Genomic DNA, 19,052 nt, shown 5'->3' with positions numbered 1-19,052 from the left:
AGAATAGTAAGGGAAGAGAGTAGACGGCAAAATGGCCCATTCCTTCTGGCTACACCCATTTAATAGTCTACCCGCTATGGAAGGGAGCTGGCCAACACAAAAGCCATTTTACAGGGCAGTTCTTTCCACAATGCTGTTTAATATTGCTGCACTGTGTTTTTGGTTTTTGTTTTTCGGTTGTGTTTTGGGCCTTCCTGAAGCCATAACAACTTTCCAGGCTTCTTGGCAAACTCTGAAAGTAACTTTTGGGAAGAAGAGGTAAAAAGGGGGCAATGTTTGGTTTTGTAGAGAAGCAACTAAGTAAACCCATGAATAAATACATAACACACAGCAAGAACCCCTCCACCTCCTGTTTACACCCAGTGAGCTGGCAGGTGAGGCTAAACCCAAAGGAGAGAGTCAGTGAGACAGCTGGCTACATCCATAACCAGGCTCCCTGGACATCATGACGCTGGGGACAAGGATCTCCATTGGGACCCGCATTGTTATTGATGTTTTAACTCTGTCGGGGGTGATAGACAGTGTGAAGGGACCCTGCCTAATCACCATTAAATTTAAAATCCTGATTTTGCTAAATACTAAAGAGATCTCCCACTATAACTCCCAAACTACTCCGCTGGCACAGGGAGAGGAAGAGATCCCTCCTGCTCAGGGAATAAAATCGTATTCTACAGAGGGACATTTAGGACTCTAGGGTGTAGCCCCTCATCAGGGATTCCAGAGCTCTTTCCAGCATCTCCACGGCTGAGATCTGTCCCTGTGGGAGAGGTTGAGTGGCCCAGGACAGGGGCAGCTCTCCTCTGTGACCAGATAACCTGGGCCACATTTTAACTTCTGCAAGTCAGGGGAACTCTCTAAACCTCAGTGTCTTCGTCTATAAAATGGGGCTGCCAGCTCCTGCCTTGCCCACCTCCCAGGATTCTTGTGAGGCTTTCAAATCTGAGCATGGATATGAAAGTGCTTTGGAGATGGTTAAACTGGGATGTTATCAGGCAGGCTTGTTCCTATGCAACTGGCAGACTCTGCTTGCCAAAAATCACAGTGTTTGTGAAATCTGCACCAAAGGCATGTGGCTACCAATTCTAGCTTGTCTCCCTCCACTGGGAAGATATCCTGGCAAAAAATTCAGGCAATCTGGGCTGATGAAGATAAGAAGAGGCTTTTTTGGGAAAATATGAACATCAACTACCACAAATAAACAACAAAAAATGTCATTTGGAGCACTTTGGTGTCATGCACTTTACTTCCAATGTCTTTTCTAGTCCTTACCACAACCTGATGGGGTAGAAACTGTGCCTTTTGTAGATGGAGACACTGAGGCACAGAGTGGTTAAGAAGCCAACTGCAGGTCACACAGCTGGGATAGGATTCCAGGACTGTCTGACTCTGGAGGTCACAACCTCCACCACTAAGCAAATTGCCTTTCTGTTTGGGCAGCAGCCCTGGTGGCCACAGAGAAGAGAAAAACAGAAGTTACTTTTGCTTTTCAGTGAGAGCACACAGATCCAGGGGGCTGTGAGGGTGGGCACAATCTCTGTAGCAGCCAGCTGTTGCTGCATAACAAATCATCCCAAAACTCAGTGCGAGCACACAGATCCAGGGGGCTGTGAGGGTGGGCACAATCTCTGTAGCAGCCAGCTGTTGCTGCATAACAAATCATCCCAAAACTCAGTGCCTAGAAAAAATAACCATACATTATTGCTACAATATACAGGATGGCTGAGTGATTCTTCCATTCTCTGTGGTGAGGTGCAGGTTGGGTAGAAAGCTGTGCTTATCTTGGCTGTAGGCTGATCTGGGAAATCTTGGCTCTTACTCACACGTCTCCTGAATCCTTCCAGCAAGTTAGGCTGGACACATTCATATGACAAAGGCAGAAGAGCAAAAGGAACATGAAAATACACCAGTGTTTTTGCAAGCTCTGCTTCAACCTAGTTGGTGACTATTCCATTGATCAAAGCAAATCATAGGGCCAAGCCAGAGTCAATGATCTGGGAGGAACTACTGAAGGGCAAGGACACACAGAGGCATGAGAAACTGGGGGCACCATTAATATCAACCCTTCTGGAGGCACAGTCCCTTTGCAGAGAACCTTCCCTGTGGGCAATGCTGAACCCCTTCCAAAGCCCTCTCCCCTTCACGCTGCCATTTAATTCCCACCACAACCCTGGGAGGTGGCACAAGGCAGGGGACATTTCTGCCCTTTTGCACATGAGGACACGGAGATCACCCAGCAAGTGCATGGCAGAGTCCCAACAAAAACCTGAGTCTCCCAAGACCCACATGGGCTCTTTCCAGAACACCAGCCCCCTGATTAATCTAATTCTACAGATTCTTTTTCCCCCCAATACCTTCAAAAAAGTCCTGTCCCCCCACCCCACCCTACACCCACTCCTGGGCTTTCCCAGCCCCTCACCTGCATTCTCCTTCCTCCTGCAAGATTCTGGGCATCTCTCTGCCGTCACCCTTTGCGAGCTCTTCCTCCTTTTCAAAGAGGCTCTGGCAGAAAGGGGAAGCATGCCATCAAATGGTTAAAATTCCCAGTCTCTCATAAATATTTCATGAAAAATATCTGCTGAGATAACCCCAGACTGTTGATGTCGACATTATTGCACCTGCACATTTTAATTGGTCCAAGAGAGCTGGCCCATAATTGGTGCCTGAAAATTGGCACAAACCTGACTTGGTTGTAAATTGGAAGATTGGGCTCTACAGAGAATTTGGCATTTTAACTCTGACATGGCCAAGGGACTGGAAAGGGTGTGTGAGGGTCAGACAGGGAAGAGAAGAAAAGGGGTACACCCCACTCAAATGTGCCAAGCCTCCAGAGGCCACTAGTCCAAGCTTACTGTTCTGCATGGCTCTGGAAGCAAAGTGATGGCATAGAGGCTCAGTACCTGCGAGGGAGGTGAGCCTAGTGGTTAGAAGCACCGGCTTGAGAGCTGGGCCTCCTAACATTTTCTATGCCATGACCCCTGTGACCGGCTGCTAGAGACTGTAGATCCTTTCTCAAAACAACGTTTTTAAATGCGTAAAGTATGCATGATTACAAAGCAAGTCAATTATATATATTTCCAAAAATAATTTAAAAATTTAAAATTGTAGGCCAGGCATGGTGGCTCACGTCTGTAATCCCAGCGCTTTAGGAGGCTGAGGCAGGCAGATCACCTGAGGTCAGGAGTTTGAGACCAGCCTGGCCAACATGGTGAAACCCCATCTCTACTAAAAATACAAAAATTAGACTGGCGTAGTGGTGCACACCTGTAGTCCTAGCTACTCCAGAAGCTGAGGCAGGAGAATTGCTTGAACCCAAGAGGCAGAGGTTGCAGTGAGCCAAGATCGTGCCATTGCACTCCAGCCTGGGTGATAAGAACAAAACTCCGTCTCAAAAAAAAAAAAAAATAAATAAAATTGAGATGTAAAAATATATGTGCATTAAATTCTTTACTAGTGCATTACATGATAAGATCTAACATCAGGTCTAGTAACTACTGCAATTTCAAAGTAGTGATGAGCATAAATGATAGTTCAAGATCTTTGTCACCATTGTAGTGTGATGTGAAAATACCTGTGGTTTCCAGTGGCAACGAAATCACAGGTGCTGTTAACAGAACTGTGGTATGTTGCTTACATTTGTGCTTGAAGGAAATGCTACGTTTTAGTTAGAGGTGAGTGAACATAAAGTTGTATTTTGTTCCCACCCAAGTTCACAGACACCCCCTTCCCCCACCCACCAACCGCCAGTTAAGGACCCAGCCTCCGAGCCTGCCAGCTCTGATATTTATAGCTGGGTAACCTTGGCTTCCTTTGGCTTTGAGGTCTTCATCTACAAAATGGGCTTTGGAGGCAGACTGAGCTGGCTTTAAAAACTGCTCCGCCACTTGGGTGTGCCCTTGGAAAGTGAGCTCACTAAGCCTCAGTTCACTGGCTGGAGGATGGGGTTCCTGACAGCACCTTCCTCATGGGTGGTTCTGGGACTTGGATGAGATACTGTGGGCGAAAGGATCAATACACATCAACCCACTGCAGTCTCAAGGAGCAACCTGGTGCCCAGCAACCAGCCCAGGCTGCTCAGTGTCGCCCCAGCCAACCTCGAGTGCCGGATACATGTGCATCTTCTGTCCCCTGTGCATCCCCTGTGCTGGACTCTGTGGCTTCCCGCCCCTGTCCAGCCCGATGGCCCCAGAACTCAGGGACGCATCTGTCTCCACACTGCAGCTATTCAAGGCCCTTTCAAATCAGCGCCCCCCAAGCGGCTGGGATGGGGAAGCCAGACACAGGCCCATGTGGTGACTGGTGTATCTCGGCATCAGGTGAAAGCCCCACCTTTAGGATGATAAATACGTTTCCAGTTCTTCACACTGGGTGCTGGTGCACAGAGGCATCACCTCCCCCCTCTCCTGTGTCTGCTAAGGGGCCTGGTGTGCAGTCATCAGGCCTCTACAGGCTCTGGAGGGCTCGGAGCCCCCCACCCCCACCACTTCACCCCAGGTCTGTGGTGGTAGGGGCAGGACAGTCCTCAAAAGCGACAGCCCCGTTCAGTATGCAAGGCTGGGCAATGGCTGACCTTGGACGCACTGGCCCTCTCCGGGCCTCATGTAGACATGCAAGGCACTGGGGCAGCTCCTATTATGGAGTGTCAGGGAAGGTTGCCATGGCTACCTCCCCCTTCAGGTTCCCACTCAGCCGGAGCCCACCCTGTCATTGACTGTCAGCTTTAGAGTCAGCCAGAGCCAAGTGGCAGCCCCTCCTCATCCTTCTCCACTCAGAGGTGACCCCTCTGGAAGGCAGCTGCTCACACCCCCGAATCCTGGGGGAGCCCCTCCATTGCCCAGGAGACCCCTCTTCCTCTGGCACTTGCTGTGGGCTCTGCGGGGAGCCATCACCGTCTTTCGGAGGTGTGCAGGGCCCATTAGTGCCAAAGCCAGTGAGAGATGCTGGCTGGGGAAGCTGGGGCTCGGGGAGGGAGCTGTGGGGCTGGCGTTGGGGAGGTGGAACCCTCTCGGGAGCACATCTGGCAGGCCCAGTTTGGGTAATTGTGGGAGGAGGGATGGATGGCCATGAGGAATAGGGGCCAATGCCCCCAGCAGCCCTGGGTATTTGCAGGTTTCTGCTGCCAAGCTTCTTACAGCCCCCAGCTGGGAGGAGGGAAGGGGGAGCCTGTACTCCCTGGATGCCTACTGCTTGCAAGCTTGCTTTATGGACACAACCTCATACTATGTCAAAATAACTCTCTGAGGTGGGGGTGCTGTTTGAGCCCCATTTTACAAACAGGAAACTGAGGCTTAGAAAGGTTCCACGATTTGCTTACGGTCACAGAGCTGGGAAGTGGTGGGAACCAGAATTCAAACCCAGACCTGCTAACACTTGAGACCTCCATAAACCATGGAATTCCCACTGCATGCTTGACCCTCAGAAGCCTGCCTACCAGCTCCCGAGAAGCATCTCGGCACCGGGCATTGCTCTGTGCTGTGCAAGCTTTCTACCTGCTCATATCCCCACAGATTCTCTACTTTATAGAAGTGGACACTGAGACTCAGTGAGGCCATGTTGTGGGTCCAAGGTCACACAGCTAGCAAGGAGTGGGCATTTCACCTGGATTTGTCCATCTACAAAGACAATGATCTCAGTTCAACTCAACAAATATTAATTGAACACTTGCTATGTTTACAGCCTTGACCTAGGTGCTGCCACCATAGCAGTGAGTTTACCAAGACTCCACCTTCCCAGAGTTGTGGGGAACAGACAAGAATAACAGACAAACATAAATCATCTAGGTATCAGAGGTGATAAGTACGAGGGGGAAAGCAGAGCTGGGTAAACAGGGTGGGGTGAGCCAGGAGTGGGGTTGGAGGGGGCTAGGCATTAAAGAGGGCAGACGGGGCAGGCCCCAGTGCAAAGGAGGGAGGGAGGAAGGGAGGGAAGGAGCCAGGTGAATAGCAGTACCTGCTGCATCACAGGTGCTTAATGAATAGATGCTGAAAGAATGAACTCATCATAGGATGTGCCTGGTGGAGAGTAATAGGGTTCTGGCCATGAATAACAACAGCTGCCTCCTATCAGCACTTAATAGGTGCCTGGGCTCCCGTTGGCACTTTACACACTTTGCTCCTCTTCCTTACTTGTTCTTCATGGTGTGTGTGGACGTGACATTCGGGGCTAGATCGCTGTCTGTGGACTTACAGATGACAGGAATACAGAAGTGAAGGAAGGGCCTTGCGCCATGCCTGGCATGAGATGAGCCCTCAGTGTTAGCTCCTTCCCCAAGATGGCTCAGTTCTGCTCCCTCTGGGACTTCTGACTTTTCTGCAAGGGAGGAAACTGCCAACCACAGAGATGTGTGCTGGACAGAACAGACATTCTTGGGGGTGCGGGTTGTGGCTTTGTGGTTAGGAGCCAATGAAGGGGCTGGGCCTCTGGCTTTAAAAGGAAAGTCTGGGGAATCAGGTTCCTCTCCAGCCTGCTCAGGGCATCTCAGCGCAGCCTAAATCACTGTCTGCTGAGAGATCAGCAAAGGTGGTATTTTTGAGGTTAATGCCCAGTGAGATTTGGGGGTTGAGGGCAGTTGGAACATTATCTGTAGACTAGGCTGGCCAGGGAAATCCTGACAGTACTGCAAAAGTAAATTCTGCTCTCCTATAATTAGATACATATTTATTTTAAAAGGTTATAATTTCCTACTGGTTTGCTGCTTGATAAATACAGAGTTTATTATTTTTTTTTCTTCACTGCAGCTCAAGAAAAACAAATCCAGGCTTGGACATGAATAGGAATGTCATGATGACTCCGGGCAGCAATTTTCTTCCAAACCCCATCAAATGCAAGTGCAAGATTGGATGGTGCTGGAGTGAGCTTGGCATGTATAAGATTTGGTGGGGGCAGGCAGGCAGAAGGGTGAGAGGAGAGGGCTTTCTGAGTACTGCTTACAACAAGTGACATAATTACTGCCCTGCAATTCCCTCCTACATGCTTGTACTCCTGCACTACCCTCTGCCTGGGATGCCCTTCCATTTCCATAGCTAAATCCTGTCAATGTATGGCTGAAAGGCCACCTCCTCCAGGAAGCCACTGAGGATTCCTCCGCTTGGCAAGAACTCTTTATTCTGAATGCTCACAGCCTGTCCCCAATTCCTCTAAGGTAGTTGCCACAGTGCATTGTGATTACTTGGCATTGCACGTTGAACTGTGTCTCCACCTCCCCCACCCCCCAAGAAAGAGATGTTGAAGACCCAACTGCCCAGTACCTGTGAATGTGATCTTATTTGGAAATTTGGTCTTTTCAGATATAATTAGTTAAGATGAGGTCCTATTCAATTAGGATGAGCCCTAATCCTATATGACTGGTCTATTTATGACAAGGAGGAGAAGCGATACAGAGACAGACACACAGGAAGAAGGTCACGTGATGACAGAGGCCAAGGCTGGATTAATGCGTCTGCAAGCCAAGAAACACTAAGATGAATGGCCACCAGCAGAAGGTAGGCAGGGGCAAGGATGGATTCTACCTGGAGTCTCAGAGGGAGCATAGCCCTGCTGACACCTCGATTTCAGACTTCCAGCCTCCAGACCTATGCACGGATGCATTTTTGTGGTTTTAAGCCACTCAGATCATGGCGCTTTCTTGTAGCCACCCTGGGAAATTAATGCACAGGAGGACAGGCGATTTCTTCCTCCTGGAGAAGGCTCACCGCCGTCACAGCATCTGGCACAGCATAGGTGCTATATCGACATTTACTGATGAGTGAATGGTTGGATGGATGGTCAGTCCCTGGAAAGGAGGATCCAGATCTGGCTGGTCTTTGTGTCCCCAGATTGCCTACTAAGGACAAAGGCTCTGTCCTAGTTCATGTTCCCGTGGACTCCAGTCTGGATCTCCACAGCAGACAGCCAGCTGGCCTTCGTGCCTCCACTCTCATCTCCCAGTCAACTTCCTCAAGCTTTGCTGAACTCTGAGGTCATTCCAAGAGTGGAACAGGACTTTCCAATCCCTGGGCCAATGCCCATGCTGTGTCCTTGGCCTGCAGTGCCCCTCCTCCCTTTCCCACCAGGCAGACCCCCACTCATCCTTCAAGCCTGAACGCCAACATTCGCTTCTCGTTAGCTTCTCTGAACCACCACCCATCCCTCATCCCTGGTAGAATCACGTGTTGCATCCTCTGTGCTCTGTCTGTTGCTTCTAGGATAGCTCCTGTCACCCTGGCTTAGCTATTTGTTTGCTTGTCTGTCTGCCCTGCTGGCCTGTCAGCATCTTGAGGTGAAAGACCCTTTATTTCTCATCTGTGCCCTCATCGTGCCTGCCAACAAGTGGGGACATGTGGGTGTCTGAGGAATGAATGAGATGATCGGGTGCTTGAAAATCAGGCTGAGTGGGCCAGGCACAGTGGCTCACGCCTGTAATCCCAGCACTTTGGGAGGCCAAGGTGGGTGGATCACGAGGTCAGGAGATTGAGACCATCCTGGCTAACACAGTGAGACCCCGTCTCTACTAAAAATACAAAAATGTAGCCGGGCGTGGTGGCGGGCGCCTGTAGTCCCAGCTACTCAGGAGACTGAGGCAGGAGAATGGCTCATTGCAGTGAGCCTAGATTGTGCCACTGCACTCCAGCCTGGATGACAGAGCGAGACTCCGTCTCAAACAAACAAACAAACAAACAAAAACAAAAAACAAAACAAACAAACAAAAAGAAAATCAGGCTGAGTGGTGAGGAAGAATGGTCCAGCCTCCTCTTTGGGCGCTCGTTAGATGATTTTCACAGCTGCCCCAGCTCCCTCCCAGGGCCAAGGATCCCATATGACAAGGAGGCTTCTGGGGAGACACAACAGGCAGAGCTAGAAGGGGCTTTAAAGTGACTTCCTGGGTCGGGCGTGGTGGCTCATGCCTGCAATCTCAACACTGGGAAGCCTGGGTGGGGGAATCGCTTGCTCCCAGGAGTTTGAGACCAGCCTGGGCAACATAGTGAGACCCTATCTCTACAAAAATTAGCTGGGTGTGGTGGTGCACGCCTTTGGTCCCAGCTACTCCGGAGGCGGGGTAAGAGGATCGCTTGAGCCCAGGAGGTCAAGGCTGCAGTGAACCATGATTGTGCCACTGCATTCCAGCCTGGGTGACAGAGCGAGATTCCATATCCATAAATAAATAAATAAATAAATAAATAAAGGTGACTTCCTAGCCTGTGCATCTCAAATCAGAGATGAAAGACCCACAATCAGAGGAAAGGAAGAGGCTTGCCCCAGGTCACACAACCCACACGGGGGCATTCTCTGCCCAAAGCCATAAGATTTGACTAGTGCCTTTGTGTACTGGTGTACTAGTGTGTTGAGTCAATACAGCTCTTCCACGTTAGAGGCTAGAATTGGAGGATTTGATGGGAAAGAAAAAGGGATAAAAGATCTAAGTCCCTCAAGAGGAGATGAGAACTTAGACTTAGGTGTGCTTACTATGTGCTGGCCCTGGGCTAGGTGCTTTGACACTTTATCCAGAAGTCTCAGCACAGCCCTAGTAGGCAGGTACCGTTTACAGATTAAGAAAGAGAGGATCAGTTGCCCTAGGTCCTACAGGGAGAGCCGGGTTTTGAACCTAAGCCTACCTTGCCCAAAAGCCATGAGCTTCCTTCTCCACTGTGGTGGCTCCTTCTGTGAAGGGTACCGGAATCTGGGTCAGGTCTTGGCCTCAGAGGTGGCTGATCCTAAAGGGCAGGAGACTGTGTTTCCTCAGGTGCCTGGAGACCATCCTTGTGTTTTTTAAGTGGAGGGGAACATTCTGGAGTTCCCAGGACCTTGAAGAAGCCCCTCTTCCAGGTGGAACAGTTAAGGCAAAAGAGAGGAGGAGGATAAGGATGCAGGCTGGGGCTCAGGCTTGGAGGGTTCTATCCACAGTGTGATGGAGCTAACACTGAGGGTTCTATCCTCAGTGTGATGGAGCTAACACAAGCAGCCATGTGGCTTTGGACACATTAATGGGGGTGGAGTGTTCAGAAGGAAGGAGGTGATTGCTTTGGTAGGCCTTGTAGGGGCCAAACAAAAGCCTGAGCAGAGTCCACTGCTGGGGCCTCATGCTGAGAGACACAGCTTGGTAAGAGGGCTGGGGATTTTTTATCCTAGAGAAGACACAGCAGGAAATGAAAACTGTCATCAATACCTCAAGGGCTCTCCAGTAGATGAGCAATTAGACAGATTCCTTCTGGTTCTGAGAGCTGGAGTAAGGACCCGCAGCTGGAGGGTACAACCAGACAGGCTTCACACCATTGCCTTTCTTCCAACGCAAGGGGCTGCCTTGGAGGGAGCCAGGCCTCCATCCCAGGAGTCAGTCAAGTGAGATGGGTCAACAGGCGATTCAGCGTGAAATGATGGGTCGGACCAGGTGCTTCACCTCTGAAAGAGACAGGAAATGCCTGGCCCCAGGAGACGCTCACAGCTCCACTCTCATTCTGAGTTTTCTATGGTGATACATTAATTACTTCCTAATAATTTAGATGCCCTGATCTTTCTAGATTTGACTAGTGCCTCTGAATTTCCCCTGATAGTGAGGTCTGGGAATCTACAACTTAAAGTGATTCTGGTATGCAGCCAGGTTTGAAAATTACTGTCTGGCCAGGCGTGGTGTCTCACGCCTATAATCTCAGCACTTTGGGAGGCCGAGGCCAACGGATCACCTGAGGTCGGGAGTTCGAGACCAGCCTGACCAATATGGAGAAACCCTGTCTCTACGAAAAATACAAAATTTAGCCAGGCTTGGTGGCGCATGCTTGTAATCCTAGCTACTCGGGAGGCTGAGGTAGGACAATTGCTTGAACCCAGGAGGCAGAGGTTGCAGTGAGCCAAGACTGCGCCATTGCACTCCAGCCTGGGCAACAAGAGCGAAACTCCATCTCAAAAAAAAAAAGAAAGAAAGAAAATTACTGTCTGTGAGGCCATGGGGCAGCAACACCCCTCATCCCCTCCCTACAACCTCCATTACACACTCAGTAACCAACATGCAGCCTTCAGCCCCAGGACGGGCCCAGTCCTGTGCTGCTGCAGTCCAGGAGGCCTTGACTGGCCGAGGCAGAGGTTACACCTAGTGGCCGGTGGCTTCCCAACATGATCTTCTAGAGAAGTGGGAACAAAATCTTACTACTGTGTGGTCTGGAATCCAAGATAAGTGACAGCCTCCCCGAGGCCTGGGATTATGTGTCTGGTATGTTTGCCAATAACAGGGTGGGATGGTTCACTTTATGTGTCAACTTGGCTGAGCCACGGTCCCCAGATCCAGAGTTAAACATCATTCTAGTTGTTTCTGTGAGGGTGATTTGGGGGTGAGATTAACACTGAAATCAGTGAGCTTTGAGTAAAACGATTGCCCTCCGTAGCATGGGAGGGCTTCCTCTCATCAGTTGAAGGCCTCGATAGAACAAAAGACTGACCCGCCCTGAGCAGGAGAGAATTCAGCCGCAGACAGCCTTTGAGTTTGAACTGCCCCATTGGTTCTGCCAGCCCATCCCGCAGATTCTGGATATGCCAGCCTCCATAATTGGGTGAGCCAATTCCTTAAAATGAATCTTTCTCTCTATATGCATCCCATTGGTTCTGTTTCTCTGGAGAACCCTAATACCCAGGGACATGGACCAAGGTGATCAGCAGAGAAATCACACAAAGGCAAGCTCCTTGGGCACCAGGAACTGCCAGGCGTGAAGGAGGTACAGAGAATGTGAAAATTAATTCTGGCCAGGTGCGGTGGCTCATGCCTGTAATCCCAGCACTTTGGGAGGCCGAGGCAGCTGGATCACTTGAGGTCAGGAGTTCAAGACCAGCCTGGCCAACATGGCGAAACCCTGTCTCTACTAAAAATACAAAAAACTAGCTTCGCGTGGTGGCGTGTGCCTGTAATCCCAGCTACTTGGGAGGCTGAGGCAGGAGGATCACTTGAGCCTGGGAGGTGGAGGTTGCAGTGAGCCGAGATCGCGCCAATGCACTCCAGCCTGGGTGACAGAGTGAGACTCCATCTCAAAAAAAGTAAAAAATAAAAAAGAATACTCATTCTCCCAAAGCAATTTCCCTCTGCTCTGAAGCCAGCTTCAGAAACGCTGAGCATGGGCAGGCAGGGGGAAGCACGTGAAGCTCTTCAAAACATCCTTGGGAAATGCAGAAGGAAGCCAATCAGAGACCCAGTCACTGGGGAGCCAGCAGGTGGGCCATGATGGCTAATGGAGAGTGTGCTCTGCCTGAACCTGTCTGGACCCAGGAGGGGATGCTGAGAGTGGGGAGTGGAGGGAGGGAGCCTCCAGGTGACTTGGAAAAACTAAATAGAGACAGAGACCCACAGAGCACAGGGCCCACATCACCATGAGAACCCAGATGAAGAAAGTTCAGGGAGAATGCTCCCAAGCCTTTGAGACTCAAGACTCCTAAACCAAAAAGACCTCGAGGGGTCATTCAGTTCAGTCTTCTGCCTCCAGACTGGACAGCCAGCAGCCCAGGCCAGAGATAGCCGTGTAATGGGAGTATTTGCAAAGAATATCAGAGAGGGAGGGGAGGTGAGAGGGAGGGAAGGAACCTTGATGCCCGTGATGGCCATGACCTTGGAGCATTTCCTGGGTGGCAGGCACTGAGCTGACAGTTTTCCATACATTGTCTCACTGAATATGAACGATACTTATATGAAGTAGGTACCATTACTGTCCCCACTTTACAGATGAGGAGACTAAGGTACTAGTGAAGTAACTTACACAGGTAGAAAGTTGTAGGACTGAAATTTACACCCAGATTTACCTGATTCTGAAGTCCTTGTTCTTTATCACTAAGGAAGAAGAGAAGATAAGGGGGGTGGGGTGGGAAGAGAAGGAGCACAATTCTGTTATTTGATAAATAAAGAAGTAGGCCCAGGAAAAACAAAGGATGTACTTGGGCCTTGTGGCTGGTGATGCAGGCTGGGTGCACAACTGACGGCTGCAGGGCTGGACCAGGGCACACAGGACCATGACCCGAGAGGAGCAGGCCCAGCAGCCTGAGCAAGTGTGTTTTCAGGTCCTAGAGAAGGACTTGCTAAATCTCTCTCCTAACAAACCTGGAATTCCACTGTTTGTGTCCTTTTTCTCCTGGATTTCTCCTTGAAGTTTGAAAACCCCAGGGAGGCAGGGCACACGGAGTCCAGCTCAAACATCTGCAGTAGGGAGTGCATTCATCTGGTGACTTTTTCCAAATCTGGTGATCTAACTCCAAGCTACCACCTTAGTGTGGGTCTAGACAACAGGTTGGAGGAAAAGCCACAGCAAGGGCTGGCCCGGGGAGCAGGGGAAAGAGGAGGGAAGAGCGTCTAGATGCACCTTGAGGTATCCCTCAGGCTCCTTAGATCAGCATTTCCTAAGCCAAAAGTGCCACTTTCCTCCTCAGATCTGATCATCCACCCTGGCCAATGATGCCACAATTCTGGGAGTCATCTCCAACTCACCCTCTCTTTCTCCCATCCCATCAACAACGAGGTCCTGCCAATTCTACCTCCTAAACAGATCTCAAATCTTCCTACTTCTACCTCCACTGCTATCACTCGGTCCACACCATGGTCCCTCACCTGGATGAAGGCCACTACCTACTAGGTGGTCTCCCTGCTTCACCTTTTGCCTCTCAACCATCCATCCTTCACTCAGCAGCCCCAGCTGTCCTTTTAAAAGACAAACCCTGTCGGGTCTCTTGCCTCCTGAAAACTTTTTCATGGCTCCCCACAGCTGGCAGGATAAAGCCCAAGCTGCTAAGCAGTGCATAGTAGGTCCTCTGCGGTCTGACAGTCCCTGCCTGCCCAATCCCACCTCCTGCCCCTGCGCCCCAGGATGCCCCCGACGCTGGCCATCTGGGCTCCTTGGGGCTCATCCCTGAAGACCTCACACTTCTCTGGCTTTGCACATCCTGTTCCGCCTTCATGAATTGTCCCTTCTCCCCTGTCCCCTATGCTGTTCTGTGAAACTCATCTTTTAAGATGTAAGCCAGGCATATCACTTCTGGGAAGCCTTCCTGGATCACCCCTTCCCCATCTGCAGGCAGAGATGCCCCAGGTACTCAGCACATCCCTCTCCGTCTGCTTAAATTACGTGTGGACTTGTCCGTCTCTGCCAGGCTGTTGAGCATATGGGAGCCCCTGAAATAAGGACAGGGATTAGATCTTTCTCATCGCCAGTGACTAGCTCTGGGCCTGCCCCATAATTACAGCTTGATGAGAATTTCTGGAATAAAGGCAGACATACAAGCAACCATGACGTCGGGCAGGAGGTGATGAGAGATGAGATTATAATGAGAGGTACAAGGGCAAAAGAGGAGATCGATTCTAAGTCTTTCTGGAGGTGGTGGCAACAAAGCAGGGTCATAAAGCATGGGTAAGCTTTCAATAAGCAGAGATGGAAAGACAGGAGCCAGCTTGGGAGCTCCGCTAACCATTTGTATAAATGCAATGTAGCTGCTGGCCTCGGCCATCAGGAGCAGACCTGAGACCCAACCCTAGTATCCAGTCCACTGGGAGTCTTGACCTTGCCCTTCCAGCCATAATATTACGAGTAAGGGATCCAGATTCCCAGTGCAGATTGCCTGTCCTTAGGTCACTGGAAAAAGAAAGAAATTTGAATGTTTAAATACCCTGGCCAGATTTTCCATTGTTCTGATTCACTTCCCTTTATTTGCCCTGAAGCTCAGTCCCACTCAAACAGCGCTCCTTGTTCATTCCCTCATTTTATCCTCTGTAGGCTCAAAGTCTGCAAGCAGCTGAAAGGGAACCAGAGCCTGGGCTGGGCTCAGAAGGCCCATAGGCTAAGCCTTTCCTGCTTCTTCCTGAGACCCTGTGTTCTTTGGGGCTATGCAGAGACTGGGGAGAAGAAAATTTCTTTGCTAAGAAGAGTATTTGGATGTGTTGACAAGGTCTCTATAGTAACCAGGAAATTGAACAAGTGTCGCCAGAAACCCACAATCAAGAAGGTGTATTTTTCCCCCAGATTGGTCAAGGAAGCTCGTCTAGGGCTGGGGGTTTAGCCATGAATGTGAGCAGTTAGAAACCAAGAAACCATGCTCCTTCACTGGTTGGCATTAGGAGCTAAGCTGAGCCGATCGCTGAGGCTCACTTGGTGCTCAGGAGCACAGAATCAGATTTGCCTTTGTAGGCAATTCAGTCTTGCTTTTGATCAAAGAAAAGGCAATAAAAACCAAAACCAACAACAAAACAGAGAAGTAAAATAACTCAAGATAGAGCAATCGAGTTGGGTCAACTTTTGGTGTCTGAGAAATAACAGAACCCTGCTTCTAGAACCCACTCTTGAGGTCCAGAAGGGGTGGATGAGGAAGGCTGGTTACAGACAGCAAGGGAGGGGTGGACATTTTTGGAGCTTCTATGTGCTAAGCACTGGATTCTGCCGAAATTGAGGTCAAAGAGCACAGTGGTTAAGAGTAGAGTGCCAGAGCCAGGCTACCTGGGCTCAAAATCTACACTGTCCTCTCCAGTTTTGTCCCTGGGGTTTGTTTAACCATCCTGAACCTCCATTCCCTTAGCAGCAAACTATGTTGTTATGAAGATTAAATAAGCAAATACATATAAAGAGTTTAGAACCCAACCTGACACATAGTAAATGCTCATTAAGTATTAGTATTATATTAACTTGTTGAATCTTCACATTAACCTATGGGTTTGTAATTCTACTCTCCTCAGTTCGTAAGGAAACAGGCTCAACTCAAGAAATCCCCTGCCCAGGGCACACAGTTGGCAAGAGGCAGGAATGGGACTCAACTCCAAGTTTGGCAGGCCTCCTCACCCCTCGATGCCTCTGATAGGAGCTGGCTTTCCCTATGAATCTGGATGATGATGGGCTCTTCCTGGCTCTTGGGGTTTCGTTTCTATAAGGGAGGCACCACTCACCATCACACACGACACCCATGTGATGGGGCTCACAGAGCAGAGTGAGCCTCCCTCACAGTCACAGGCCAGAGGGATCAAGACAGCATCCCATGGTCCTTCCTCCCTGCGGCCTCCATGGCTCCTTGTCACCCAGGATGACAGACAGAGCACCAGGTTGGGAATCAGCAGGTGTGGGTTCCAGCTCTGCCACAAACCTGCTGCATGACCTTGTGCAAACCAATTTCCCCATCTTAAAAACGAAGAGGTTGGATTTTGCCATCCTGAGCTCTCTGAGAGTCTGAATTTACAATTCCGGGGATCAGAGTGTCACATCTCACATGCTAAGATGAAAAGGTGAGCGTTTCAGCCAGTTGACTGCAGTGAGAAGAGATCACCCATCCTCTCAGTGCCCCGTGGAAGCACTTCCATTTAGGACACATCATACATTCAACAGGCTTTGAGAAAAACTGGGGGGTGGAAGTGGGGAGAGAACCACTATTGACTTTGCACACCTCAGGCCCTGGGATTGACATTTCCACACACAAGAACCAGTGACAGCAGCCCGATGGCATGGGGAGTGTTTGTGATGCCATCTTACAGAGGAGGCAACTGAGATGCAGGGAAGTCAGGTCTTAGCACCGATATGACCTTTTGATGCAGGTATTTCTGAATCCAAATTGATGGTCATTATAAGATTATAAGAAAACAATAAATTGCAAGCAAAAAAATGAATTCCTTTTTTTTCTTTTCTTTGTTTTTGTTTTAAAGCATTTTGCTTTTTAAGGGCCAATCTTCTCTTCATGTGCGAAATGGGAACCAAGATCTGGGTCATAGCTTACAGTCCCAAAACCCAGTTGTCCTGGAAGAAAACAAGGACTCATCAGGGCCTGGAAAGCTTGTGTCTGAATCTCCAGCAATCCATGGCTGGCTGATTTCTTCTAAAGTCAGCCAAGTTGGAGCCTGGCGGCTGAAAGACCATTTCACTGGCGGCACAGAACCCATTCCCCATGCGTTTCACCACCCACAGTTTTCTTGTCCTACCTGCGTTCCTCCTTGGCAGGCAGTTTACCAGACATCCAAGCACCAAACGGGGCCATGTGGATCTGGCCTGGTCGTCTGTACAGCTGGAGGAGCCACGCCTCTTCCTGACCTTTCTCAGGAAGCAAAGCACCTACTGTCTTCCCGGCAGAGCCAGGGCAAGCATGGGCTTGGGAATGGAGCACACCTGCCTCCCCAGTCTGGCTCTCTGCCCTTTAATAATCGTGTCCCTGGGCCGGACGCGGTGGCTCACGCCTATAATCCCAGCACTTTGAGAGGCCAAAGCAGGCGGATCACCTGAGGTCAGGAGCTCGGAGACCAGCCTGGCCAATATGGTGAAACCCCGTCTCTATTAAAATACAAAAATTAGCTGGGCGTGGTGGCGCGCGCCTATAATCCCAGCTACTCAGAAGGCTGAGGCAGGAGAATCACTTGAATCAGGGAGGTGGAGGTTGCAGTGAGCTGAGATCACGCCATTGCACTATAGCCTGGGTGACAGTGAAACGCCATCTCAAAAAAAAAAAAAAATTGTGTGATCCTACACTCTCCCTCTCTGGCCTTTAGCTTGGTATTATAAAAATGGGGATACTATTTCCTTGGAGAGTTATATGTAGATTTAATGAGCACAGAGCTTTTAGATCCAGGTTTCATGGAAGCACCAAAGTGTCTGTTAGGAGTGGGGAGGATGCTACATGGTGAGAGACAGGGCCTTAGGTGCCCCATCCCCTTCCATCAGAGGCGCTTCCCTGGTGTTTGTTTACACGGCCAGGTTAGGCTTGCGATTTTGGATGGAGGAAAGGGTTATGCAGCTGAAAGAAAGCAGAAAGACCGCTGCTCTAGTTGTTGAGGAAGTGCTGGGCACCCAGCGGGCACTTAATAAATGTTAGCACTTTCCCTCTCCTCGCCCCCATCATTCTCCCCCCTGGATTCTTTATTAGATGGCTCGGCGAAAACCTGGACCCAGATGAATGGAGAGAAGGCAGCAGGCAGAAGATGGAGTGCTTTTAAAATATCAAGCGAATCACTGCAGGGGTGGAGTGCCTGGCGGGGGCTAGGGGTCACGGAGGCTGTGACCCAAATACGACGGGGCACAGGCTCACCACAGCTCCACACTGAGGGCCCCTGCCTGCAACCAGCACAGAAAAGGCTCCCCAGAAACAGGGGAACCGGCCCCTGCCCCACCAACGCCGTTCGCAACAGGCTCACCCCCTCCTCCTCCTCCTCTCTTGAATGGAAGGACCCAGAGGAAAAGAGAGAGCTCTGAAATGTGCGAAGGGGCACAAGAGGTGGGGAGGCCCAGTGGGCTGACCTGGCTGCTTCTTGCAAATAAGCGGGGCCTGCTGCACTGCGAGGGCACCGAGAAGAAAGAGCTGCCATCAACCCTGCCGGGTTTTTCTCAGATCCTCTGAAAACGAATCTCCTGGGAGCAGCTCGGCAACCGGAGCCATAGCGCCACCTACAGGCTTCCTTCTGCCATGCACTTTGCCTTCAAATACCCCTTTTCAGCAGCAGGTATTACACGCTAGGTATGCCAGGGGCGGGAGCTCACATCAAATCCACTGAACTGCGAGGTGTCGTGTTGCTGATACGCTCAGACAAATGAGCTTGGCGTAGAGAGAACGGTCGTTGCTAACGTGTATCTTGCAGGAAGGGTGTCAGGGCTGCGCTCCAGGCAGGAAGCTGGCAGAGTTGACAGCCAATCTCCCATCTTGATGATGGGGAAACTGAGGCCGAAACTGTCCACAGTTACACAGTGAGTTGAAGGCAGAGCTAGGACAGGAAGTATTCTGTGCCTCTCCACTTGGATGGCTGTTCCCCTGTTAATTCCGCAATAACTGTACTGTGACAGCCACAGGAGCCTGCAGCACACACACTAAAGAGTGGCTCCTTTTCACTCAGAAATGTCAGGAGATGGGGCCAAGTTTAGAGGTTGCAGCTACAGATAAGCCTCCGAATACGGGCTCCATGGGGCCTGGGGATAGGCCCCTGCTCTGAATGTGGATGTGAGAGGATTTAGTTCGCAAAACTGACTTTCCCTCCTACACACCCTCACGCTCACACTCTCCATCTAGCAAACTGTTTGTCCTTTATGGCCCACTCACAGGTTGCTGTCTTCCAAAGCCTTCTCTGATCCCTTCTCCCTGCCAGTGGAGTCTGTCATCTGTGCCAC

At 50.3% G+C, this 19,052-nt stretch overlaps 1 long non-coding RNA gene across 1 annotated transcript, besides 2 other annotated features; it reads right to left on the bottom strand.

Annotated features, from left to right (window-relative positions):
* Positions 1-1,217: 1,217 nt before the first annotated feature.
* On the bottom strand, positions 1,218-18,329 carry LINC02687 (long intergenic non-protein coding RNA 2687). The gene is made up of 5 exons (NR_122071.1): positions 16,886-18,329; positions 10,139-10,371; positions 9,588-9,791; positions 2,417-2,499; positions 1,218-1,850 (listed from the first exon to the last, which is right to left on the bottom strand). It is a non-coding gene; the product is annotated as a long intergenic non-protein coding RNA 2687 (long non-coding RNA).
* Positions 4,339-5,020: an enhancer, noted in NCBI's record as "H3K4me1 hESC enhancer chr11:45406257-45406938 (GRCh37/hg19 assembly coordinates)". NCBI's record gives its function as "activates a minimal SCP1, AML or CMV promoter by ChIP-STARR-seq in primed H9 embryonic stem cells {active_cell/tissue: H9 hESC(primed)}" and the evidence as "EXISTENCE:reporter gene assay evidence [ECO:0000049][PMID:30033119]".
* Positions 10,331-10,830: an enhancer, noted in NCBI's record as "H3K27ac hESC enhancer chr11:45400447-45400946 (GRCh37/hg19 assembly coordinates)". NCBI's record gives its function as "activates a minimal SCP1, AML or CMV promoter by ChIP-STARR-seq in primed H9 embryonic stem cells {active_cell/tissue: H9 hESC(primed)}" and the evidence as "EXISTENCE:reporter gene assay evidence [ECO:0000049][PMID:30033119]".
* Positions 18,330-19,052: the final 723 nt, after the last annotated feature.

The sequence above is a fragment of the Homo sapiens genome, chromosome 11 (genome assembly GCF_000001405.40).
Source record: "Homo sapiens chromosome 11, GRCh38.p14 Primary Assembly".
In the NCBI taxonomy this organism is placed as follows: Eukaryota; Metazoa; Chordata; class Mammalia; order Primates; family Hominidae; genus Homo; species Homo sapiens.
Note: the sequence above shows the minus strand (reverse complement) of the source record. Positions and strands in the feature narration are given on the sequence as shown.